The sequence below is a fragment of the Homo sapiens genome, chromosome 14 (genome assembly GCF_000001405.40).
Source record: "Homo sapiens chromosome 14, GRCh38.p14 Primary Assembly".
NCBI lineage: Eukaryota > Metazoa > Chordata > Mammalia > Primates > Hominidae > Homo > Homo sapiens.
This window is the reverse complement of record NC_000014.9, coordinates 65,990,861-66,017,876: the sequence shown is the minus strand read 5'-3', so window position 1 is coordinate 66,017,876 and position 27,016 is coordinate 65,990,861. Positions and strand designations below refer to the sequence as shown.

Below are 27,016 nucleotides of genomic sequence, written 5' to 3'. Positions count from 1 at the left end.
AAAATGCAGTGATAACCAAGGCACAATCCCTGCCTGGAGGACCTCACACATAGATGATAGACTAGGAAAGAGGCCACTGAGTACAAAGGGATGGAATAAGTGGAAAGGGAGGCAGGGGGTATTGTGCCAGTGCACCAGGAACGCTTCCTACCTGACCTGCTAGGGCAAGGCTGGGGTGTGGGTTGTTCCAGGCAGATAGAGCTAGAGGTACAAAAATCTGCAAGGAGAGAGAAAATGGGGTGTCCTTCAGCAACTTCCTAGCAGCTATTTATGGCTTCCATTAGTTCAAGGAAGGGAATGTCAAGAGGTAAAAGCTGGAGAAGTAAGCAGGGATCCAGATCAGAAAGAACCTTGTATGATTCTTGAAAATGGAAAACCCTTAAAAGGTTCTAAGCAGGGGGATGATGTGATCAGATATCCATTTTAGAAAGATGGTGTATTTGTCTGTTCTCACACTGCAAATAAAAACATACCCGAGACTGGATAATTTATAAAAGAAAGCGGTTTAATTGGCTCACAGTTTAGCATGGCTGGGGAGGCCTCAGGAAACTTACAATCATGGTGGAAGGGAAAGCAAACAAGTCCTTCTTTACATGGCGGCAGCGAGGAGAAGTCCCAAGCCAAAGGGGGGAAAGGCCTTATAAAACCATCAGATCTTGTGAGAACTCACTATCATGAGAACAGCATGGAGGTAACTATCCCTATGATTCAATTACCTCCCACCAGGTCCCTCCCATGACACATGGGGGTGATGGGAACTACAACTCAGGATGAGATATGGGTGGAGACACAGTCAAACCATATCAGATGGTATAGGCTGCAGTGTGCAAAATGGATTGGAACAGGGAAAGGTGGACACGGGAGGCAAGTTGGGAGTCTGATAAAGCAATAAATAATCAAGCCAAAGGATATGAGTGGCCTGAACTAAGGTACCTGACATGGGATAGAAAGAAGTGAACAGACTGAAGATATGCTAGGAAGGTAAAATTAGGACACAGACATGGGTTGAATGTGGAAGAGGAGGAAAGAAAGAAGCTAAAGGGATTTGGGGTTATACCACTGGGTGGGAAATGGTACCACTTACTGAGATAGTGAACAAAAGGGGAAGAGGGAGTTTAAGGGAAACAATGGTGAACTAAATTTTAGATATTTCATGTTTGCCTTTGGGATATCCAATAAACTCTTAGATATATGTATCTGGAGCCCAGGACAGGGAACTGGCAGGACTTAGAGATTTGGGAGTTATCATCTTATTCTTGGTAATGTAGGCAATGAAGTATGGATGAAATTACCCTTGGTACGGGGAGAAGAGATCCTAGAACAGAGCCCTAGGGAACTAACCAATATCAAAGAGATAGGATGAGGGTGAGGAGCCCATGAGGCAGCCTGAGGATCAGTGGAGTAGAAGACCTAGGAGAGTGTGTTGTCAGAGGTGCCATGGGAAGAGAGGCTTTGGGAACAAATGGTTTGTCAACAGAGTCAAATGTTACAAAGAGGTCATACAAAATGAAAGAGGAATTTTAAAAGAATTACTGGAGGTGTCCACTATCATCAATGGCAAACAAATCATTGGTGGCCTGGGTAAAAGCAGTTTCAGTGGCACAATGGAAGAGGAAATACAGCTGCAGTGAGTTGCAGAGTGAATGGAAGGTGAAAACGTGAAATTTAGAGTACGAACAACTTTTTCAAGATTCCATATGTGAAGGACATGGGGAGAGGAGGCAATAAGTGCCAGAGGAGAATGACAGGATATAAGGCAATTATTTTGAAACTAAATTATTAGAAACTAAATGATAGAAGAGACTTGAAGTGATTCAAATGCTCATGAGAATTAGCCAATAGAGAGGCAAAGTTTCATGAGATGGGAGGAAGAAGGGGTGATGATTAGAGGGGCATATGTGAGAAGGTGAGATGGGGGGCTTGCCTGGGTCCTGGGTGCAGAGAGAGGTACTGACCCTGTCAGGAGGACAGACCTGGTGCCAGTTAAAAAACAACCGCAAAACCCCAGGAAGGTACACCAATACGTGTTGATGCTCTCACATCTGGAATCAACTGACAATCAGCTAACTGGCTCCACTGATCTTGGCTGTACTAAACTCTATAGGACTCCACAGCTGTCATCTGATCTGGATGAGCCTCATCTCCACAAGACCCTCAGCTTCATCCTGGGATGGGTAGACTTGCCTGGACTTGTTTTTTCTCATGGCAATGGCAGAGATGCAATAGAGCAAGCTACAATTTCCAAGCCCATCTGCCGCCTCTTCTTGTGTCATGCCTGCTAATCTCCCACTGGCCAAAGCAAATCATGTGGCTGAGCCCAGTGTCAGGTCAGTCCACCCACACATTGCAAAGTTAAATGGCAGAGAGCATGAGGTCACAGATATCTTAACACAGATAAAGAGAAATACAGCTTTGACATTTTGTCAAACACAAGAAGAAAAAGCAGTTTGTAAGAATCCAAGGGAAAAAGACAAAGGCCTAGCCATTCACTCCTCTTTCGTGCAGATCAAGGTGCTGCCGTATTATTTATGTCCAGAAAGGTTAACACTCAACTGTGGTTAATGAGCAAAGTCAGCCTAGATGAGAACACTTCATGATAGGGTCAGCATTACCTTATAAAACTTAACGACAGCAAAGTCAGCTTTATTGCTTTTGTTGAAAGGGGGAAAGCCCTTCACCACCTCCATGAAGTTGGTGGAATCTGCTCCTGGGCAAAAGAAAAAAAATGTTCTCTCCAAAGCTTGTTTATGAGAGAAGATTATTGGACTGTGAAAGAGTTTAATTTAAAGAGCAGGGTGGGGAGACAGGAGTGTCTGCAAAAGTGAGGAAAAGACAGCTCTGGCTTACATCCATATTACACTTGGAAGGGCAAGAAATGAGCTTGTGGAACAATGAAGCCAGGTTTCCAAGGGCTAAACCACAAAGGTAAGGAGCAGAATGGTGATTCTGTGATGGGGAGTGCTTTCCCCATACGCTTCAGACATTCCCCAAAGTTATCATCACCTGCCCTTCTCCCTCCTCTCTATTTTCAGGCAGAACCATTCTATAAACACCTCTCTCTGCTTCTGAAACACCAAAGCACGGCACTGCGAATTATAAACCTTCAGTGTACAAAGGTGTCCATGGTTATCACCTGTGGATCTTGAGCTTACATAAATCAGGGGTCTAGATGAGTTGCTCCCCCTTCTTTCAATTCAGTGTAGTGTGATGTATTCCCCCTCAGGGGCATTGATGGAATATAGTGTCTAATTTTAACTAAACTGTCAGAAAATTAACACATGGCTTTAAAAGTTTCCTGTAAAGAAACAGCAGTTGGGAGATTTGCTGGCCTAGGACAGGAGAACAGACCTAGTGCCAGTTAACAACCACAAAGACCCAGGCAAGTACACCGATACATGTTGTTGCTCCCACCACTGGAATCAACTGAGGGTTGGCTAAGGGGCTCCACTGATCTTGGCTGGACTCACCTGTCTGGGACTCCACAGCGGTCAGCTTACCTGGGACTCCAGCAGCTGTCAGCTCATCTGCTACACAGGACCCTCAGCCTCATCCTGGGATTGGTAGACTTGCCCAGGCTTGTTTTCCTCATGGTGATGGCATAGGTGCAAGAGGACAAGCTCCAATGCCCAAGCCCATCTGCAGCATCTTCTTGTGTCATGTCTGCTAATCTCCCACTGACCAAAAACAACAGGGAAATGGCTGGGCTGATGAGCAGCCCACCACAAGAACAAGCTCTTGGTCAGCCACACTGCAAAGTGACACAGTGGTGAGGTGATGTGATCCCTCCAGAGAAGTCAGCTAAAAGGGGAAAAAATTGAAATGATGAAGACGATTACTATTTAAAATACGTATTTATATCCACTATCATTAACTATCTTTAAACTGTCCCAAGTGCACGTTGTACCTGAAGTTGTCATAACCGGTAGGACATAAAAACTTTAAGCATTCAGTTCGATCGGTAGCGGGAGCGGAGAGCGGACCCCAGAGAGCCCTGAGCAGCCCCACCGCCGCCGCCGGCCTAGTTACCGTCACACCCCGGGAGGAGCCGCAGCTGCCGCAGCCGGCCGCAGTCACCATCACCGCAACCATGAGCAGCGAGGCCGAGACCCAGCAGCCGCCCGCCGCCCCCGCCCTCAGCGCCGCCGACACCAAGCCCGGCACTACCGGCAGCGGCGCAGGGAGCGGTGGCCCGGGCGGCCTCACATCGGCGGCGCCTGCCGGCGGGCACAAAAAGGTCATCGCAACGAAGGTTTTGGGAACGGTAAAATGGTTCAATGTAAGGAACGGATATGGTTTCATCCACAGGAACGACACCAAGGAAGATGTATTTGTACACCACACTGCCATGAAGAAGAATAACCCCAGGAAGTACCTTCGCAGTGTAGGAGATGGAGAGACTGTGGAGTTTGATGTTGTTGAAGGAGAAAAGGGTGCGAAGGCAGCAAATGTTACAGGTCCTGGTGGTGTTCCAGTTCAAGGCAGTAAATATGCAGCAGACCGTAACCATTATAGACGCTATCCACGTCCTAGGGGTCCTCCACGCAATTACCAGCAAAATTACCAGAATAGTGAGAGTGGGGAAAAGAACGAGGGATCGGAGAGTGCTCCCGAAGGCCAGGCCCAACAACGCCGGCCCTACCGCAGGCGAAGGTTCCCACCTTACTACATGCGGAGACCCTATGGGCGTCGACCACAGTATTCCAACCCTCCTGTGCAGGGAGAAGTGATGGAGGGTGCTGACAACCAGGGTGCAGGAGAACAAGGTAGACCAGTGAGGCAGAATATGTATCGGGGATATAGACCACGATTCCGCAGAGGCCCTCCTCTCCAAAGACAGCCTAGAGAGGACGGCAATGAAGAAGATAAAGAAAATCAAGGAGATGAGACCCAAGGTCAGCAGCCACCTCAACGTCGGTACCGCCGCAACTTCAATTACCGACGCCGACGCCCAGAAAACCCTAAACCACAAGATGGCAAAGAGACAAAAGCAGCCAATCCACCAGCTGAGAATTCGTCCGCTCCCGAGGCTGAGCAGGGCGGGGCTTGAGTAAATGCCGGCTTACCATCTCTACCATCATCCGGTTTAGTCATCCAACAAGAAGAAATAATGAAATTCCAGCAATAAGAAATGAACAAAAGATTGGAGCTGAAGACCTTAAATGCTTGCATTTTGCCCGTTGACCAGATAAATAGATCTGCATTATCTATGCAGCATGGGGTTTTTATTATTTTTACCTAAAGACGTCTCTTTTTGGTAATAACAAACGTGTTTTTTAAAAAAGCCTGGTTTTTCTGAATACGCCTTTAAAGGTTTTTAAATTGTTTCATATCTGGTCAAGTTGAGATTTTTAAGAACTTCCTTTTTAATTTGTAATAAAAGTTTACAACTTGATTTTTTCAAAAAAGTCAACAAACTGCAAGCACCTGTTAATAAAGGTCTTAAAAACAAAACAAAACAAAACAAAAAAAAAACTTTAAGCATTCAGAACCCAGATACAAACTTCTGCAATTGCCTCAGCAATAGTCTAGGTCATGTGGTACCCAATCCAGTGTTTTTAAAAATGCTACTAAACTACAATAAAGAAGCATCTTTAAAGCCTTCTTACTTGGAAGAAGCAAAAGGCCACACATCTTTTTTCTAGTTCTTCCTTCTATTGTGAAAATAACTGAAATCAGATGTGGAAAAGAATATGGCTGCACACAGAAATGAATTACTTTGTCAGCCAACGATATTAAAAGATGCATAGAAAACATTGTTGAAGGTTAGAAGAAATGCGTCTAGAACAAGAGTGGGAGGTTTGTAAGACTTGGGGATGAAAAGATGTTATCTAAATGAATGGTATTGCTAGGTTCTGTTTCCATAATGACTGTAGAAGAACTGACTTCGTGAGTCAATAAAAAAAAAAAAGAGGCATGAAAGAAGACATATTTTCCACAGAAAATGACATCTTGAAAACTGAATATTACCTCCAGTGGAGCAGGTGGTTTGATTGGAGAAAAAAAAGGATTCCAAAGTCAGGCTGCAGAGTTATCCCATGTGTGAAATTCATTTAGTTCATTTTTCCTTAACAAGCTACTGTGGCAAAGAAGTAGAAGGCAGAATTTCATAGGGCAGTACTCGCAAACCTGAAAGTGCATATGTTTCACCTGGGGATCTTGTTAAAATGCAGATTGTCATTCAGGAGGGCTGGCCTGTCCTGGGATTCTGCATTTCTAACAAGTTCCCAGGCGATGCCGACACCGCTGGTCCATGAACTGCACTTGGAATAGTGACAACATAAAGAAATACAAAATGTTAGGGTTGGTATTCACTTTATAAGAATAAGATCATTGACAATATAATAAAATCTTCAGGTTATTTGGTATGGATCATGCAAAGCATTTTCACAGAGAGCTTTGCTGGTCATCTTGTGTCCACGTCCTAAAGAGCTGTCATATAAGAAGATGTGCTGCTAATTTTGCTTTCACAAAAATACAATATTTTCCAATTTCTGACCTTTTAAATAATGACAAATAGTTGTTGGTAGAATTCTATCTAGCAGGAAATAAATAAATACATCTCATCTATTTCTTTATGTAAAAGAGGCAATTTAACAATGAATGGGAAAGTAACTGCTCTTCCAAAAGCTTTGTGCTATTGAGAGCATTGTGAAAACAGATGTTTTCATTATGATGAGTTTTTGTTGAAATGACAAAGCACCACCCACAAAAACTTTCATATTTTCACACTAAAAATCTTGGAGACTGAATTTCCTAATATTTAAGTCATTTACATAGTGAACTTTGAACACATTTGCTAAAAATGTAAAAACATCAACTTCTAATTTCTTTGCAAGAAAACTAATTTGGTATCAGAGAATACAGAAAATGTTAGCTGAATTTTCACAAATACTTTTGCATAATTGGTGAATAAGATTGAATAATTGTAAGGAACATGGCTGTGCTTTGGTCAAGGACAGGCCGAGGTAAACATCCAGAGTGACTCAGCGAGTTTAGAGCACAGGTGTATAACTCCACTTGTTATCACAGCCATGTAGCCATAACAGAGGAAAGCCATCTCTTGGCTCTAAGTCACTATTGTCTGTAAAAGGTATAATTGCCCTGCTGACACTGTACATGTGCACTGGCACCCAGAGAAAGAGAGAGACAATCAGAGCTGTCCATCTTTGCAGACAGACAGAGCAGAGGCCAGGACACAGCTCAGCTCGCTTGTGCCCAGAGAAAGAGTTAAGCTGCTGACCCTGAAGGCAAGGGAGAGCCAGCCATGCAGCTGTGTGTGTGGGAGCCACCGGACTAAGCAGCTGAAACAGGATGGACAGAGTGAGAAAGCTGTTGATGACAGCTGCTGCTGAATAAAATCATCTTTCACCCGCCTATGGCCACCTAAGTGTTCTTTCTGCTCATCTACGCACTCCCTCAAACTTCAGCATGGGCTGGAACCTGACCCTGAGCATGACAATAGTGAATACTATAATTTAGTAAGAGAGACCAATGGTGCATGCCTTCCATATGAATCTATGAAGGATCTTTTTTCCCTCTGATGGAAATTAAAATCAAGCAAGCGAACAAACCCAACTTAGAACTGGACCCTCCAATGAGTATACTACAAAGTCCTAAAGCAAGATTTGAAAACATAAAGTATTTACAAGTGCATTGTTCTCACGAATATTAATAATGTGTAAAAAGGGTTTAGTGAGAATAACGTTTTATCATTAATAACACAATTACTTAAAAAGCATTGTTTCTTTTTTATCTTATCCTTTATAATTTACATTTTTGTGTATATTTTCACATATATAAAACATTGATACATCTGAATAACCTATGCAAATACACATATATTTTAGGGGGTTGTTTACCTTTTTTAACATATGTGTCGTGTAACCCAAAAAGAGCAGAAGACACTGATGTAAATTAACACATTTATAGACTGTAAACTCTGTGTGGCTATTTTCTTCCTTTTTTTTTTTTTTGAGATGGAGCCTTGCTCTGTCACATATGCTGGAGTGCAGTGGTGTGATCTCGGCTCACTGCAAGCTCTGCCTCCCAGGTTCATGCGATTCTCCTGCCTCAGCCTCCCCAGCAGCTCAGACTATAGGCGCCCACCACCACGTCTGGCTAACTTTTTTCTATTTTTAGTACAGACCGGATTTCACCATGTTAGCCAGGATGATCTCGATCTCCTGACCTCGTGATCCGCCCACCTCGGCCTCCCAAAGTGCTGGGATTACATGTGTGGCAATTTTCATTCATTCAATGAATATTCACTACACAAAAACATTAGCTTAATACGTATTGATTGCATTTATATTCTAAAAGATATTTAAGGGTGATTGGATTTTATTAGCAATATGCAAAAAATATGAATGGGCTATTCTCACAGAAAGAAGAAAAAAGTTATCCTTTAGGTTGGATCAAGCAGCTGTGCCATGGAATGCCAAGAGTCTGGATCATCCCTGTAGCATTTATTGCATCCCTGACAAGCCTGGTGAAAAAGTGTGAGCCAAGGAAAGGATTTGTTCCTGGAGATCTTAAGATCTTAACATGATTCACAGCTGGATCCCTACTGCTGACTCATGAGGTCCACCCTCTGGAGCTGGCATTCTTCAGCAGAGCTGTGCAGAAAAGCTGAAATGCCCAATCAGAAGATATGTATAAATGTTGCTTCATTTTTCTGCTTAAGAGCTTATCTTTTCCTTTAGAAAAAGAGTTTCTGAGGAATTCTTAGCATGAAAACAGTTCGTATAAGCTGCCTCTTGTGAAACCATTGCTGTGGTTTCGCTAAGATAAGTCCTATTGTATACAATCAGTAGTTTAAAGAATTCCCAATGAGAAAACTGAATGAAGGGAGATATTTGGCTCTTATTTAAGGAGAAGTAGAAATTGCTTTCTTTGTATTAGAAAGAATCTGAGGCAGACCTATGCTTTCAGAATAAAGAAATAGGTGTTTTTTCTCTCTGTTTCTAATTTTGATTTAGGGAAGAGAAGTAAAAGAGCTACTGTTGAGGAAAAGGAGTTGAAACCCAGGAGGAACTAAGTCATCAGCAGGCTCTAAATGAGGCTAGAGCTAACAGCTGAGAGAAGCCACAAAGCTTTGCAATATAAATCTAGCCTGAAGGTCCAGCTCCCCACATCAGCCTCGAGGCCTTCACGTCAAATTAGAAAGAACATTTAAATCAGAATATGGCTATGTGGGAGGATTTAGATTTAATGATGATTAGTAACAAATATGTAAGGAGTTAACAAAATGTTTCTCTAAGTGTTTATTTTTAACGAATAAACAGCTTTATTGTTTATTGTTCTTTCAAGTCAGCAATTTTTAAAGTATGTTGTGTAATTAATAATTAATTATAAATTTGTTAGCATGGACTTGGGAAAATAACAAAATGTGAATCTCAGGAAAAAATCTTTCCTGATAGAATGCCCAACAGGGCACTTACTGCCATTTGGTGGCAATGCATACTGATTGCAGGAAAAGAGCCTACAGGTTTTTTTAATCCTAGTTTTGTATACAGAGATTCATATTTCCACCCACTCTTGTCCTATTTTCTAAGACGATATGGATTTTCAAAAGCTATAAAGATGAAGACTGCAATGTTAACTGATTCAACAAATCATTACAGAGCATCTACTTAGTGTCAGGCACTATTATAGGCACTGGGGATACAGAGATGGCCTAAAAAGTTGATGACCATGCTCTCATAGTATCCAAATTCTGGTAAGAAAATGGGCAATGAATGAGTGGATTAATAAAATAATTTCTGATGTTGTTAAGTGCTATATGAAAACAAAACAGGGTAAGCTGGTAAGGAGTGACTGGGAGAAGGGCTCAGGGAAGAAGATCTCTTTGAGGAGCTGACATTTGGACTAAATTACAAAATGGAATTGAACTTTGCAAAGATCTGAGAGAAGAGCATTCCAAGCAGAGGGAACAGAAAATAAGAAGGTCCCAAACGGAGTGCAACTGTTTATTTTTAGTGAGCCAATGAGAGATTGATAACAGGTCAATTCAGATAGAGAGGCAGGTGCTAGACTATGTAGGGCCATTTTGAACTTTATTTCAAAATTTTGATCATTAATTTTAAATTTATTATTAAACTTTATTCTAAGGACAATGGAAAGCTGTGAGAAATGGAAAAAAAATGGCACAATATTTTGCAGCTTTTCCCTTCAAGAGCTGGACTCTATTTTCCCAGCTCTGCCATCTGGACTAGGCTTGTGGCTAGCTTTGACCTCAGAATGTCAAAAGCAATATGTTAATTCCAAAGGCTCAGCCTCAAGAGTTCCTATAGCTTCTACCTTCACCTCTTGAAACACTTCTGCCATTATGTAAGAAATCCCCAACTGAACTACTAAATAGTAAGTGACCACATGGAAGAACTGCCCAGCTAAGCCCAATCTATATTGCTGATCCACAGAATTATGATAAATAATAATTGGCTGTTTCAAGCATCTAAGTTTGGGGATGGTTTGTAATACAGCAATAGATAACAAACAGGAACCATAAGAGAATTTTAATCCTAGGAATGACATGATCTGATTTATATTTTAAAAGTTTACTTGGGTATGTCACATTCAGAGAGAAACTTTGAGAATCTAAAATATTGAGAGAGAAACACCAGGATTCCAACCAAAATACTTGTCCAAATGGGATGGATACATTGTCTGGGGCTGGATAGAGTGTTCTCATTGAGAAATGATCACTCTGCGGTTTACTATAGCTAGGATACATGGCTCATAGCAACTGTTGTTGCAACATTGAAGTTGAACTAATAGAATCTAACCTTCTGTCTGAGTAGAGCAAGGTTTTCTAAGGCCCCTGAAAGCCTCACTTCTCTGAATGAAACTCCCTTTGCAAGCAGGTTGCATTTTTGTAGACACTGATGAAGCCATTATGAGAGGTAAATCCAAGAGTAGAGTTTAAAGTATAAGAATCAGCAATTTGTTTCTGGCTATGGTCATGATGGAGTAATGGGTATCGGTCTTACCCTCCTGCCTTAAACAGGTATAAAACTGAACAAACGTTGCTGAGAGAAACTAAAGAAGACCTAAACAGAGAGTTATACAATGTTCATATTTTCCCCAAATTGATCTCTACATTCAACACAATCTCAGTCAAAATTCTACCAGGCATTTGTTTTTTAGAAATTGATAAGCCCATTCTAAAATTTATATGGAATTACAAAAGTCTGGAAAAGGATAAATCTTGCTAAAAAAAAAAAAAAAACAAGAGTAGAGAATTTTATAAAACTTGATTTCAAAATGTAGTGTAAAGTTACAATAATCAAGTAGGTGTGGTATTCGCATAGGATAAATAAATAAATATATCAATAAAACACACTAAAGGGTCCAGAGATAAATTCACACTTATATAGGCAATTGATTTTTTAAAAATATGTCACAGCTATTCAGTGAGGAGAAACAAAGTTTTCTTTAACAAATGGAAATGCAACAACTAGATTTTCATGTGGAAAAATGAATGTCTTGGCCTCTATTTCACATTAAAGGAAACCAAAATATTTCTCCCCAAAATGGGGAGGATTGTTAAGTTAAAGACACTGTAAACACAGAGGGAACACTCTGCCTTAGCCTGTACTTGCCTGATGGCAGAAGGGAAATCCTTCCTTGCTGAAGGCTGCACTTGCTTATCAGCCCAGAGAAGATACCAGCAGGCACCAGATAAATCTGGGAACAGATTTTACTTCCCACATTTTCCTGCCTTTTAAAGACGGAAACTGTCCTCTCCTTTGTCTTGTCACTGCAGAATTTATGACTGTTTGTTAAAATACTGTTTAGGCAAGGCTCCTGAGATGCTGCCTTGGCAGGGATACTTTTGAACTGAGGCTTGTCCTGCATGACGAGCACAGCATGTGTCAATAGACTTCTGCAGGTTTTTCTCTTGTTAATCTGACTTTTGTTTTCAGAAGAATGTCTCAGCTAAGAACATATGAGGGTTAACAATACATATATTTTTTCTTTCCTACAACATCACATATAAAAACCATCCTAAATGGATCACTAACATAAACAGAAAAACTCAGATCATAAAGCTGCTAAGAAAAAACATGGGAGAACATCTTGACTTGGGATGAGCAAATCTTTTCTACATACAGAAAACAACGACCATATGAATTTCATCAGAATTAAAAACTTCAATATAAAGTTTATGTTCATGTAAAATACCATTATGATAACTTAAAAGCAAAGCATAGATTGGGATAAAATATTCACAATACGTATGTTTGATAATGAGCTTTTGCCCAAAATACATGAAGAACTCTTGCAACTCAACAATAAAGAGACAACCCAGTTTTTTATAAATGGACAAAAGATGCAAATAGACACTTCAGAAATGAAGATATTCAATAACAACATGAAAGTGTGTCCAACATCCTTCATTATCAAGGCAATATAAATTAAAACCCCAATGAGATACTACTTCACACTCACCAGAATGGCTAAAATTTAAAAGGCTAACACCACCAAATGATGGCAAAGATATGAAGCAACTAGAACTCTCAAACATTATTGGTGGGAATCTAAAATGGTTCAATCACTTTGGAAAACTGCTGACAGTTTCTAATTAAGCACCTATCAATTATATGACCCAGAAATTCTTCTTCTAGGTATTTACATAAGGGAAATTAAAACATATATCCACAAAAAGAACTATAAAGTGTTCATAGCAATTTATTCATAGCTCTAAATTAGTAACAACCTAAATCTCTATCAAAAGGAGAATGAATAAGCAAAATGCAATATAGTTGTACCTCAGTATCCATGAGGGATTTGTTCCAGGGCCTCCTGCAGATACCAAAATCCACAGATGCCCAAGTCCCTGATATAAAGTGGCATCATATTTGCATATAACCTATGCACATCCTCTCATATAATTTAAACCATCTCTAGATTACTTATAATAGCTAATGCTTACAGTACCTAATATAAATGCTACATAAATAGTGGTTATACTGTATCATTTAGGGAATCACGACCAAAAAAGTCTGTATATGTTCCATACAGATGTAATTTTTTTCAGATATTTTCTACCGTGGTTGGTTGAATCCGTGAATGTGGAACCCACAGATAAAAAGGGCCAACTGTATATTTATACAATAACATATTCTGAGATAAAAAGGGACAAACAACTGATCCATCAACAACATGAATGACTTTCAAAAGCACTTTGCTCAGCCAAAGAAGCCAGGCACAGAGAGGATGTAAACCAAAACAGGCAGTGATCTATGGTGTTCAGAAATCAGAACTGTGTAGCTGATCTGTGGAGGGACAGAGCAGAGATTCACTGCGAAGGGGCATGTGGGTTAACTGGATCATGGTTTTTGTGGTCTTTACAGGATGCTCGGTGCTGGCATCTGCTAGGCTTCTAGGGAGGCCTCAGGAAGCTCACAATCATGGCAGAAGGTAAAGAAGGAGCAGGCATGTCACATGGCAAAGCAGGAGAGAGAAAGGGAGTTGGGGAGAGAGAGGAAGAGGGAGAGAGAGAAAGGAGGGAGAGGAAGGGGGAGAGAGAGAGAGAGAGCATGAGAGTGAGAGAGCAAGAGAGGTGGGGGAGATACCACGCCCTTTTAAATGACCAGATCTTGCAAGAACTCATTATTGGGGAAAACAGCACCAAATCGTGGGGGATCTGCCCCCATGATCCAAACACCTCCCAGCAGGCCCTACTTCCACTGGGGATTACAATTCAACATGAGATTTGAGTGGGGACAAATATCCAAACTATATCAGAAGATACTTGTTAGGATTCCTTGAAAACAGAAAGGTTTTCTTGGGATTTAATGTTTTGATTTCTAAGAGGTTTTATCTGACCTTTACAGATGTGGGATGCAGGGATGCTAGCCCTCAGGCAACCTACCCTACCTCATATAAATAGATTATTTATCTACTCTGGCTGGACCCTGTGTTAAGCACTGGATTATCTCATTCCACCTTTACAACAACCCTCTTCTTACAGATAAGGAGACTGGGGTTTAGTGAGGTGAATTAACTTCCCAGTGTATCCCAGCTAGGAAGTGACAGGTGGTGACTTGAACCCATTCCACTATTCTACTTGTTCAACCAACCCCTGTCCCCCACCAGGAGTGACTGGGCCCAGACAGACAGGAGAAGCCACAGCACCAGCAGTAGAGAAACTGGAGCAGTTGTTAGCAGAGGCAGCATGTCAGGGAAGCAAAACCATACCGCAGAGAGAAAACGGGCTGCAGATGCTGGGATTTAAAAGAGCTGACAATGGAAACGCTGTCAGGAGCATCACAATTGCTGGCCAAAGCCGGCTCCATGAGGTGTGGTAACAGCAGGATCAGAGAGAGGTTTTTCTTGGCAGTTACCGGAAAATGAAGAGTTGGGGGCGGGGTGGAAGAGAGACTTGGAATTACAACAGAAAGGGGAAAATCACCTGCAGAAAATGCTTTTCTGCTCTGGAGAAAACTCTATAAGGAAGCTTGTGGCAACCATGGAAATCGAGCAGGGCCATGTTTCTGAACAGAGCTAGTGCTCAGTAAGAGCAATTTCCAGCAGGAGAACTGGATGTGGGAAAAGCCCTTGAAAACCACTGTGTCTGGTTTGTTTGTGAACCTGATGACACAGCGGAAGCCTGCCCCAGGGCACAGAATTGTGCTGAAACCTGACCGTGTCTTCGAGACTCCAGGGGAGCTGAGCACTGAGGTATATTGAGTTGGGATTTTAGGGTTCAGAATGGAATGAATTTTTACATCTATCCACTTGTAAAATGATGTAGGGTACATACACCTACAGCAGCCTTAGTAGGAACTGAGTAGAGAGGAGGGGATTCTGGCCTCCCCACCTAAGCTTTTGGAGTCTGAGAATTAGCAGTGTTTTTGCCCCTTGGTACCGTGAATTACCTTCTCTCTCAAATTACCTTATCTCTTAATTACCAGTGACAAGCTGCGCTCTGCTTATGGTAGAGCATTCGCCTTTTCCCTAGTTGACATTCAGAGTCTGTAGAATTCCAGGCACTAAGGAGCTGACTCAACACTCCTGGATATGGGAAAACCCACAACCAACATGTCTGGTAAAGCCCAGATTCCTCCATGCTCATTTGAAAATGGTAATGAGATGCCAAGAGCTCATCAGGGGACCTCCCTGGCAAACATCTCTGCTAGCAGAATGAGGGTCTCAGTGGTAACTGACTCACCCCATCTCTCCTGCTATGGTTCTCCCTTCCCTGTCATAGCAGAGATGGAGCAGTCGGCAGCTGCACTGCCTGTGAACATGAAGGTGGGGACTTTCTATCTTATTCTGTAAGCTTTGTTCACACAATGTCCTTTCTGAAGCTACAAGGGAAATTTCCATACTAGCTCCCTTGGTATGACAGGTGCCATTCCCTTCATAAATCCGCCCTAAGATTCCACAAGATGGTGCTTGGGTCTCGTTTTAATTTGCCTCAGCAACCCAAAGAATCACAACTGCTGAAAAGTGGGATCCTGGCATCATTAATAGTTACAACCAGATCCCCAGCCAGTCAACCCAGTCCATCCCAGAAGTATCTCTTGACTGCCTCCTGGACTACACAGCCTGTGCTTGGGCTAGAAAATGTCCAATGTATTGTTCCCCTGCCGCTCCTCCCATCCATCTCTCCACCCATGTCCAGTCTTGTCTTTCAGTGATACCATAATGACCTTCTCTTCTCCACCTATGTGAAAAAGGTGAGGAGAAACCTCTACGCCCAGGCCTGGCCTTGAGGCCTCTGGTTTTGACACTGATGTCTCTTTCTCCTTTCTCTAGGCATGTCTGTGTCTCTAGATCTGATTCCACTTGAGTGGATTCCAGCCTCCCCGTTGGCAGCATGGTTTGCATTTAGGTTTGGCTGCAAATAGACCATTGATGCAGGACCGCCCTCCCCTCTTGGGGTGTGCCCTGCTTTGTCTTCCTGACATTCCCTCTAGAAAGGAGACCATGGGGAGCTCTCCCAGAGAAGAGTGTTGTCTTAATGGCCAGGAAGCGAGAAAATCATGGCAAGAGGTGAGGGGAGTGATTAACAGCTAAAGGAAAGGGTAGAGAAATTAGAAAATAGGGAAAGTAAGAAAAGAAGCATTAGGAGCTGCCTAAGCACAAACTACCCATCTCAAAAGGAAAAAAAAAAAAAAAAAAGATATACATAGGGGAAAAAAATTCCCTGTGTCTTTGGAATTTGAATTGTGATATAGACTCAATCATTCAAACTTAACTGAATATCTACTATGAATCTGCACAGTCCCTGCTCTTGAGAGTTTATGCTCTCAAATACATTTAACTAAACATTATGACGCAAGAAAGAAGAAAGGCTTGTGTAAACTGCTCTGGGAGCCCAGAGCCAACCTGAACACGTTGAAGGAGAAGCACTCCAGGAACTCATATTAGAACTGGGTCTGCAAGGATTTTACCTAGTTGACAAGGAGTGAAAAAGGTTTTCAGGTGAGGAAACAGCATAAGAAAACCATGGGGGTACAATCAGGGAAAGGCAGGCATTTCTTGTGGCTGGAGCACATAAGATTTGGTGGAAAAGTGGAAAGAAGAAAGGAGTGGCAGGGGCATGAGGCCAGGAAGTCAACATCTGGGAACAGGAAAGCAGCATGCACCATATTAAGGGATTAGGACTTTATCTTGCAGAGAATGGGGATGTGGCAAAAGTTTGTAAGCAAAGGAGTGACAATGAATATATGTGTTTTGGAAAGATAAGTGTGACAATATGGCTTGGAAGCAAGAGAAGTTTTAAGGCAAGGAACTAATATACTAAACATATACTAGCATATATAATAATATAGATATACTAGAAGTTGTCAGGAGAAATTACCTCTTCAAAATTAAGACAGGGTCAGGGAGTCTGAACTGGAGGGAAATGATTCTTGAGGTTCAGCTGAGGAGCTAGTGTCAACATGATTTGTTGTCCAACCGGATGTGTGAGTAGTGAGGGAGAGAGAAGAAAGGAAACCTTGGGCACTTGTGTAGATCTCTGTGCCATGAATCAAAATCTGAAATACAGGAAGAGGAGTTGATGTTTGGGGATATTACAAGTTGACTTTTACACATAAGAAAATAGCTCTGGAGTTCCAGAGTTGAGAAGCATTCCATTTTTGGTGGACAAACATGCCATACCTCACTCCCATTTCTGTCCCTTTTTTCCATCAGCCCCCACCCAAAAGCAAACTGAAGAACAGGCAAATGTGAATGTTCTTTGTATGTAAATATTCCACTCCCCTAGTAGCTGAGAAGACATGTGTGTTTGAAGCCTCACCAGCTTTCCAAGGCATCATGCAGCCTTTGCTACATGAACACAATCCTTTCCTCTTTTCTCTTCCCTATGCCACCTCCTCACCCCTAGAAGTCAGGAGGAATTCCAAAAGGAAAAGAAAGAAAAGGAGGAGTATACTGCCACAGCCTCATGCAAGAGCAATTAGGAAATGCATCTACAAAATAGAAAGCATGGTCCTTTTCAAGTCTGTTTCTCTTGGAACAGTCAGCAAGGATGAGACAGATTCTCTTAAATTCAAGAAAGGCATCTCAGGAAGCTGTTCTTTCCAGGGCTTTGGGAACTATGCTGCAAAGAGGCAATCTCTCCAACTGTCCCCTGACACTGGGAAGGGTTACTTTCCCTCTTGGAGCCATTTCTCCTCACTCCCATGGAGTCATTGCCTTGAATAGGCTCCTTTAGGGCTTTGACCAATGCCTAGGAAATGAGAATCCAGGTGGAAAATTATACATTGCTAGTCTTTTCCTCAAGATCAAGGCCTCAGTATGGTTCATGCTGATTTTCGCTGATCTGCTGTTGTAGGAAACAGGAGGACCAGAGAGACCTTGGGGTGTATACAGGAGGATCTTTACTGAGTGCACTCAGACCCACATTCCTTTGTGTCCTAGCTTCTTAGATGGTGTTTATCAAGGCTTTTCCTGGGTCTGGGCTGTGCCTGTTGCTGCCTCTGGGATAAGTCAGCCTAATACAGGAAAGCTTATTTCTCTTTAATTTTTTTCTTTCTTTAATTTCCCACCTCACTGTAACAGAAGGGTCCTCACTTAGTTGACTTGTCTCTTTACCCACACTAACGTCACATATGTGGCATTTGATAGTACCTGGGATCAAGGAAAGAGTGAATTTAGTTTTTTCAAGTTGTATAGAAGTAACACTGTTTAAATATTAATGGATGATATTTTCCCCCATCTCTTACCACCCAGTTGACTCTATCCCACCCGACTTTCAGGCAGCCAGGCCATTCAACACTCATTTTCTTGGGAAAGAGAATTAATAGCAGAAAGCAGGAAGATGGGGGAAAAAACACCAGGACTCTTCTAAACTTTTGAACTTTAAATGTGTAGGCCTTAGGAAATAAGATAGGATTCATGTCACAGATGAAATAAATAATATTCCCCAGGCTAGAGAGGGGAGGTGTGTAAGAAAGGATAATGAAATGAGTAAATTATGGGTACATATTTATTGGTGGATGCCTAAGAAAGAGGGAGGAGAGGAAATAACCCAGCTGAGATCTGGTTGTTCAAAGAAATGGGAACTTTGCCCAGGATCCTGAAATTTAAGGGAGCAAAAGTATGAGATAGTGATGTTTAAATATTTTACCTGTTTCAAATCCCCCCTCCACTCTCAGCAAACGTGGCCCCTTTCCCTTCACCTGTCTATCCTGAGATCAGCTTAGTTCTGCCAGACTTTCCCCTTGCCACTCCCATCAGCCAGGCAGAAGAGATGGTTGAAATGGGAGACCCAAAGTAAGGAGGAGATAGAACTTGCTGTGCCTCAGACCTGTATCCTTTCCTTCCTTTTCTTTCCTCACAACCAGTTACCTCTGTTGATTGGAGGGCAGGTCCATGCTGCTTGCCCACGTCACTGTTTATAACTCTGTTCTCAGGTATTCTCATGGGTACCATGGCTGGAATTGACCCTGGGAGCTTCCTCTTGTTAGCCCAGGTGATGAGCTAACTATGCTGGGATAGGTGCCAACCCTCAGCTCAGCTTCCCATAGGATGATGGGCTTCCTTGCCCCAAAAGGGGTTCTGTGATATCCCAACAGTACCAGGTTTTCAGGTGCTAGGCATTTGGTTTCCTAGACAACTCCTGCAAAGAGCTATACCCCAAACCCAGGCTGTTTGTTTGTTCCCCAAGTTACAAGGCCATTTCTCACCCTTGATCTATGAAAAGGCTGAAATAGCAGAGGGCAGGGTGCCTTGGCACCAACACGTCTCTCATGGATTGATGGTTGATGGGGGCCTGTCATTTCTCTTCTTTTGTTGACCTGAAGCTCTTTTATTTCCTGCAAAAAGCTATTCCCTAACCCATGTCAAGCAATGCTGAGCAATTTTTCACAAGCCTGTTACATTGCTAATAATGACTGGGAGGTACTCAACTGGCAGGACTGTGCGCTTAAAAAATTAAGAAGTCATGAAATGTAGATGAAACAGCACAGGCTCTGAACCCTGTATTTCCATGCTAGCTCTGTTCTTTATTACCTGTCTAATCAAATGTGGGCAAATTTACTTCCCAGTCTCCATTTTCACATCTACAAAATAAGCAAAATTAACATTAATAGGATTGTAGTGAAGGTCACATGAGATAATGTCCCTTGTATGTTTGGCACTATAACTGATGTCCTCAAAATTATTAGGTTGATACTAGAGAAGCAGCTTCAATCGTGCACAATTTCTCCCTCTCCCAGGGTGTCATGTAGTTTCTCTGCACTAATTAATTTCTGCCATGTGATTTCTAGAACTATGTAACTGACCTCATCATGACCCACTTTACCCCTCTGTAAAGTTGCATACTTTAAGGAACTTTAGGAGTTATATATAATCACTTATCTGGGGACTTGATTCCTTACCTGGTAACCTTTCCCAGCCAGAACCCAACCCAGACTCTGGAAGAAAGTGACAAAGGCCTATGAGCAGTAGGTGTTAGAAGGTCCAATCATCACAGCTCACATAGATTGGGAACAAAAGTTCCCTGGGTTTGGAAGGAAGAAAAAGTTCATGGCTTTGAAACCAGACATAATTTCAAATTTTAGTTTTACCACTTTGGAGTTGTGTGACCTTTGAAAGGTCACTCACTTTCTTTGAGACTCAGTTTCCTAAATTCAAATTAGGGTAACAGGGTATGGTGAAGATTAGAGATAACATTCCTGGCCCACAGAAGCTCCTTCATAACCAGGGGTATTATTATTTCTGTATAGGCCAGGCTCCTCTGGCCCTTGTTGGGAGCCTATTTGACGCTAGCAGTCAGGAACACAGTTGCACAATTGTGAATAAGCTTGTTCTCTAAACACTGAACCAGCAAGTTCAAGCCAGTAAAAGAAAGTCACCAGACAGCAGTGGTTCTAAACCCTGTATGCACATTAGAATCACCTAGGGAATGCTTAAGCTCTAATGCCCTCACCACACCCCAGATTAATCATGTCAGGGCTATGAAGAAGGAGGGGTTGGGCCCAGGAATCAGTATTTTTAATGTTCCCTGGCCAATACCAACGTGCAGTCAAGGTTGAAAATCACTGGGCTGTGGCCAGGGGCAGTGGCTCACGCCTGTAATCCCAGCACTTTGGGAGGCCAAGGTGGGCAGATCACGAGGTCAGGAGATGGAGACCATCCTGGCTAACACCCTGAAACCCCGTCTCTACTAAAAATACAAAAAAAAAAAAAAAAAAAAAAAAAATTAGCTGGGCGCGGTGGCGGGCGCCTGTAGTCCCAGCTACTCGGGAGGCTGACTGAGGCAGGAGAATGGCGTGAACCCGGGAGGCGGAGCTTGCAGTGAGCCGAGATTGCGCCACTGCACTCCAGCCTGGGCGACAGAGTGAGACTCTGTCTCAAAAAAAAAAAAAAAGAAAGAAAATCACTGGGCTGCTTCTCCAACATTATTGTGCATATTTAACACCTAGGAAAGTAATTAAAATGCAGAATCTGATTGAGAAGGCCTGGGAGGGGGCCTCGATTCTCCGTCTCTAATGGGCTCCCGGGTGATGCGGACGCTACTGAATAACAAGGGCTAAAGGAAGACTTGCTCTCATCATCAAGATAGAACGGCTGAGAGCCTGTCATTTTGGGAAGAGACAGGAAAAACTATGAATTGTCCTCTTGCTCTCCAAAAGTAGAGTGGCCTGGGAGCCACTTAAAGAAGAGGCGTGTAGCCCTATACCTACAAGTAGTCTATAGGAGTATTAACTGTTACAACAAAGCCCAAGTTGATGGTCATAATTGTGACCCCGAGTCTCTAAAAAAAGTTACACTGGGTGTAGGAGCATTTGTTTAAGAGGACCAGGAAATGTGTTTATCTTAGTCAGTTCAGACTGCTGTAACACAGTATCATAGACTGGGTGGCTTATAAACACCAGCAATTTTATTTCTCTTAGTTCTGAAGGCTGGAAAGTCTAAGACCAGGGTGCCAGAATGGTGGGAATCTGGTGAGGGGTCTTTTCCATGTTACAGACTGCTGACTGCTCATTATATCCTCACATGGTGGAAAGAGGGTGAGAGAGTTCTTTGGAGTAACATTTATAGGGACATTTATCCCATTCATGAGGGCTCCACCTCATGACCTAAGTTTCTCCCCCAGATCCCACTTCCTGATACCATTACCTTGGCAGTTAGGATTTCAACATATGAATCTGTGGGGGACACAAACGTTCAGTCCAATGCAGTATTACACATTGTAGAGACTCTTAAACAAAAACTTATCTCCAATTCTAAGAAGTAAGCTATAGACAAATCTTCCTATGAGAAATAATTAATGTCTCATTGATGCCAATTACTGAGCTTACCAGTCAGGTGTCACTCAAAAGGCACCTGACTGTTCAACCCTAGTCAGGAACTGAGGTAGACAGCATTATCGTTCCCAATTATCCACTCTCCTCTCCCTATGAAAGGATTATAGTTTCTACCCCATATGACTTTTTTTGGCCAATAGAATATGAGCAGATGCAACATGCTACATGCCACTTCCAACCAGAAGTTCCAAGGGCCATCACCCGGTTTCCTTTGTTGCTCTTTTCTCTCTACCATAAGATTCCTTCTCCCTGGACTCCTGGGTCCAAGAATGAGGAAGACACAGCAGGGGCTACAGCTGACATGTATAGGAGTGAAAAATAAGCATTGGTTGTTATAAGCCACTGAGATGTTGGGGATATTTGTTACCACAGTGTAGCCTAGTGAAAACTGGCAAACATGTGAGACATGGAGACAGGGCTGCAGAACACAGAGCAGGTCCCACATGGGGGGTTATGGCACGAAACAGCCATGAATGTCATTAGTTGTGAAAATGTCTCAACATATATACATCCTGGAGGACTCTTCACATATAAATGGGGGGACAAGAAGGATACAGATACCTCTTGGTAGATTTGGGGAGGTTTCTTAGAGAAAATACTCTCTTTGAAATGAAGGGAGGACATAGCAGGACAATAAGAGGGAACATGAGGGTGGGTCTGGAAGCAATTAATATAGTGAATTATTCTAATTCACTGTATTTGGTGAATAAGAGGGCTTGAGTAGATGTTAGATTTGAAGCCCAACTTCAGAGTTAGATTGTGGGAGGGGACAGAGGGAGGACAAGAAGTGGCTGAGGGTGTTGATGAAGAGTGACAAGTTTGTTTCTTTAGTAACACCAGGTCTTCCAGATGTCTCTTTTCTGATCTCCACAGAGAATGCATCTGAGGCCACTTTCAACTTCTCTTTAGTTATAGTTTAGACTGGGGAGGAGTCCATGGGCCCGACTGGCCAGATTCCAGGGCATTGATTTGGCATTTCTTTGTTCTGTCTCTGATTCCATTTTCTCTGGTGCTGATGGAAGTGGTTCTGGAGAATAACAAGGACACTGAATTCTCTTGCCTAGAAAAGCAAGGTAGTCCAGGACCTACTCAAGTTCTGCCTGGGTCCTAGGTAGAAGCCCCAGCTGTCATGAAGTATCACTCTGCTTGGCCCACCATTGTCCTACGCATATATCTCCCTTGGAGACCTCCTCTGCAGGGAGAAGTCATTAACGCGGGCAGGCTTCAAGTATTCCTGGATTCTCTGGGCAAAACTCTTTCTTTAATACCATTTTAATTCCAAATCTCTCTCTGACCTCTAAGACTACTCATGCCTGTCATCCCTATAACTATCAACTGATATTCAGATGCATTTTCAGCCAGAGTCAAGTCTTAAAGAATTGGGTGTGTACACGTATTTTAAGAGCACCATGGCATGCTCTAATTATGCCAATGTAGGGATTATTCCCTAAACCCTCTCACCAGTTTATCAGAATCCAAATGGGAACATAAGATCTGAAAACAGGTGAATGCAGCTCAGCTATTCTGGACATAAAAATAGTGAAACTGAAGTGGACACGTAGGGAGGAGTAAATCCCACAGAAGTAGAAAAGGTGACAGAAAAAGATCAAGTACAAAGGAAAGGAAACTTTTAAAATGAGAAAATCAGCCAGGGACCTAATGACTTTAGCATCTCTGTCTATGTCTTTGACCTCATCACTCCTTCATTTGATGAAGCAGCCAATTTTAGCTTGCTAAGGCGCTCGGGCTGAGGATAATGTTTCTTTGTGTTGCAAGCTAACAGAAAAGAGTCTTGCAAACTCATTTTCTTTTCCTTCTCTGCATGTAAAATCCATTATAAAGCTGGAGGCCATCTCTCTACTCTAGAGAAAAGAAAGTATTTACAAAGAAGGCAGAAGAATGTCTTCACACGTATCACAAAAGAAAAGGCCAATTAACGCCCTGAATGAGAGAGAGTTCTGTGAGCTTGTTTCTGTCAGGAGCAAAACAGCCTGGCCATTGACCAGCTTTCTTTAGACAAGGAACCAAACTAGAGTCACAGAGATAAGAAAATAGAAGGGCGGGGTCAGAATTCAACATCCATCAGCTTGTCCTCTGCCATCTTCCTCCAGGCCTCTGCCATGAGGGTGCCAGATAGAATAGCCATGGGAAGCAGGCAGCAGAATTATCCAGGTACTGGCAAAGATGTTGGATGATCCAGGCAGTTAGAAAGACACAGCCCAATTCAGTCTCCATTTATACAGCCACTTACCTTCCCTTCTGTATTCCTCATTTGCTTTCTACTTTTTCGGTTTTTTATTTTTTTGAATCTTCAAAAATACATTTCTCTTACTTCCTCCTAATCACTACTAACTTAAGATTAACAGGGAGGGCTCTCCTCCAATTTAACCACAGTCTCCAAAGTTCAGCACGTTGGGTACCATGTTAGTGATGCATCAGGAGTGAAGGCAGCGGTGCTTCAGGCTGTGAGATGGGGAAGAGACTGGAGTTGAATGTGAGGAGAAGACCCTAAGGAGGCAAGATTTGCTGGGTGGCAGTGGGGCACTGGGTTGGGAAGGTAAAGGACATCTGAGTCACACGTCAAGGCAGAAAGCTGGCCTACCATCTCATACCAGTGGAGAGATCATTGTTATGGCAAAGGAATGTGTCTTGAGGTGTCTGACTCCATTTTTTGATGTTTGGCACCTGACAGCTTTTAAGCCACCCCTCCCTCTTCCCCATATGCCTACATAAGAAGGCCTGGGCGTGCCCTCCTTTGGTGAGGGTAAAAGATTCAGACCAAGCACTCTCATCCCTGCCTGGGAACTTTCAAGCCAGCCCCACCCACTAACCACAATAAAAACCCTTTCCTGGCTCCCTCAAGCTATTTCAGACCTGCGTGAGAGGACTGCCCTGCTCTCCTCAGAGACCTCAGTTATGTTGTCCAAACCTTTTCAAACCCCCTTGTTTTGTGTGGCATCATCAGTTTCAATATCCAAACCAAATTTTGGGCACGCATCCACCTACCTCTGCAGGTAATCATTACAGAATAGACCTAGGAAATACCTGGTACTCTCATGATTTACTGTGGTATCTGGCAGCACTTCAGAAAAACTGGGCCAAGTTAACGAGGAAAAGGCAAGGTTAGATGTTGATATCATTTACAGGGGACCGAGTGTAAGCAGGAGTGGATTAGAGTAGTCTTAATCCCAGTTTATTAGTCAGGGTCTATCGCCTAGGTCACTCTCATGAATCTGGGCTGTCTACAAAATCACATGCTATAAACATGTAAAATGTAAGCTTGGAATGTTGGCCATAGCTCTAGGATGACTCCTAGACAGCAACCACTGTTGTCTCACTTGTTCTGATCCACACTAGTTCTCCCTGCTTTTGAAGCCTCTATCTGGTTGTCTCTCTGCCTCCAATTTTTATTTTACATGCTCATGATTTGATGACTTGCTGTCGATATAGTAGCCTGACTTGAGCCACTATTCCCATTCATATTTCATCTAGAATTTGGTTTTTGCTACCACTCATCAAGACTCTAGGTAAGTAATACCTCTACACACACACACATACACACACACACACACCAGGGATTGGGTATGAATGGATTAGATGGATAAGTAGCTAGTGAGAATAAAAAGATATTGAGATATATTCAGAATCTAAACTTCCCAGACATCTTAAGTACCCTCACCCTAGGGTTCATATCAGTTTATACATTATGAGGAAATTACATGAGTATAGAATCTAGTAGTACCATCTTGTTTTCTCTGAAGTTAGAGCAGGACAGCTGATATGGTTTGAATTTGTGTCCCCACCCAAATCTCATATCAAATTGTAATCCCCAGTGTTGGAGGAGGGCCTGGTAGGAGGTGAGTGAATCACAGGGGCAGATCTCCCCCCTTGCTGTTCTCATGATAGTGAGTGAGTTCTCACAAGATCTGGTTGTTTAAAAGTGTGTAGCACTTCCCCTTTCCTCTCTTCCTCCTGCTCTGGCCATGTGAAGATGTGCCTCCTTCCTCTTTGCTTTCTGCCATGATGGTAAGTTTTCTAAGACTTCCCCAGCCATGCATCCTGTACAGCCTGTGGAAGTGTGAGTCAATTGCACCTCTTTTCTTTATAAATTACCCAGTCTCGGGTAGTTCTTTAGAGCAATGCAAGAATAGACTAATACAACAGCTAAGATCATTGATGAAAGAGTGGTTTTGTCAAAAAACAAGAGAAGAGCCCTTGGTCTAGTAGTGTCCACTTTTCAGTTAATCAAGAATTGTGGCTAACTGTGAAGTGAGGTTGAAAATATTAAATCCAGGTTATATATAAATCAGCACAAAATATACTCTGTGATGGTAGAGACAGCTAAATTGGAAGTTCCAGTTTGAGTGTTGCCTCTCTCTCTCTCTCTCTCTCTCTTTCTCTTTCTCTTTCTAGCACCTCATTTTTCTGTGCCTTCATTTCCTTATCTATGAATTGGTAAGTTTAGACCAATCTCTAAGGTTCTTCAAACTCTAAACCTTTAGTGGATCTGTTAGTTAGGATAGTCTAGGCTATGTGACAGTAACAAAAACTGAGAATTCTAGTGACTTAAAACGTAAAGTTTATTTCTCTTTCATATAAAATCCACTATTGTTCTTGGGACTGTCCAAGGAAGTTCACACACAAAGATCCAAGCTGACAAAAGCTTCATTGTTTTTGTCAGGCTTCCAAGGTCTTTGCAGCAAGCATAACAGATAAACTGAAGGTCAAGCACTAGTTTTTAAATGCCCTGGCTTAGGTATGACATATGTCACTTCCACTCACAGCCTAGTAACAGCTGGCTCTGCCCAAGGGTGTGGCAGCGTGGAAGAGCACATAGATATTCAATCTTTGCTGTAGTGGTTCTGGGACTCTCATCCAATATGGGCTCACATCACGTATGGCCCTGTTACCATGACACAGAGATATTCTAATGATCATAGGCAACACCTCCAAGAAGGAGCTGCCATCTTCCAGAAATGGCTCAGGACTTACAAACACACTAGCACATCAATGGCCCCAAACAGCTAATCACTAACAGGGCAAAACCAGCCTAAACACAAGGTCTTCTAACAGTGCGAGAGGAAATGCACAGATGATTTGTTTGAGACCAATAGGAGGTAGGAAGAGGATCCTGTGTGAAGCTAACAGACCACTGTGATTCTTGTATTCCACCTCACCTAGTATGTTGGGCCAGAAAAGTGGACCAAAAATAAGTTGTTTGTAGAGTTCTTTCTGATGCAGCAAAA

At 42.5% G+C, this 27,016-nt stretch overlaps 1 pseudogene, besides 1 other annotated feature; it reads left to right on the top strand.

Moving 5' to 3' along the window:
- Positions 2,297-3,496: an enhancer, noted in NCBI's record as "MED14-independent group 3 enhancer chr14:66481099-66482298 (GRCh37/hg19 assembly coordinates)". NCBI's record gives its function as "activates an origin of replication core promoter dependent on BRD2, BRD4, P300/CBP and CDK7 cofactors, and independent of MED14, by STARR-seq in HCT116 cells {active_cell/tissue: HCT116}" and the evidence as "EXISTENCE:reporter gene assay evidence [ECO:0000049][PMID:35650434]".
- Positions 3,949-5,444, top strand: YBX1P1 (Y-box binding protein 1 pseudogene 1; annotated as a pseudogene).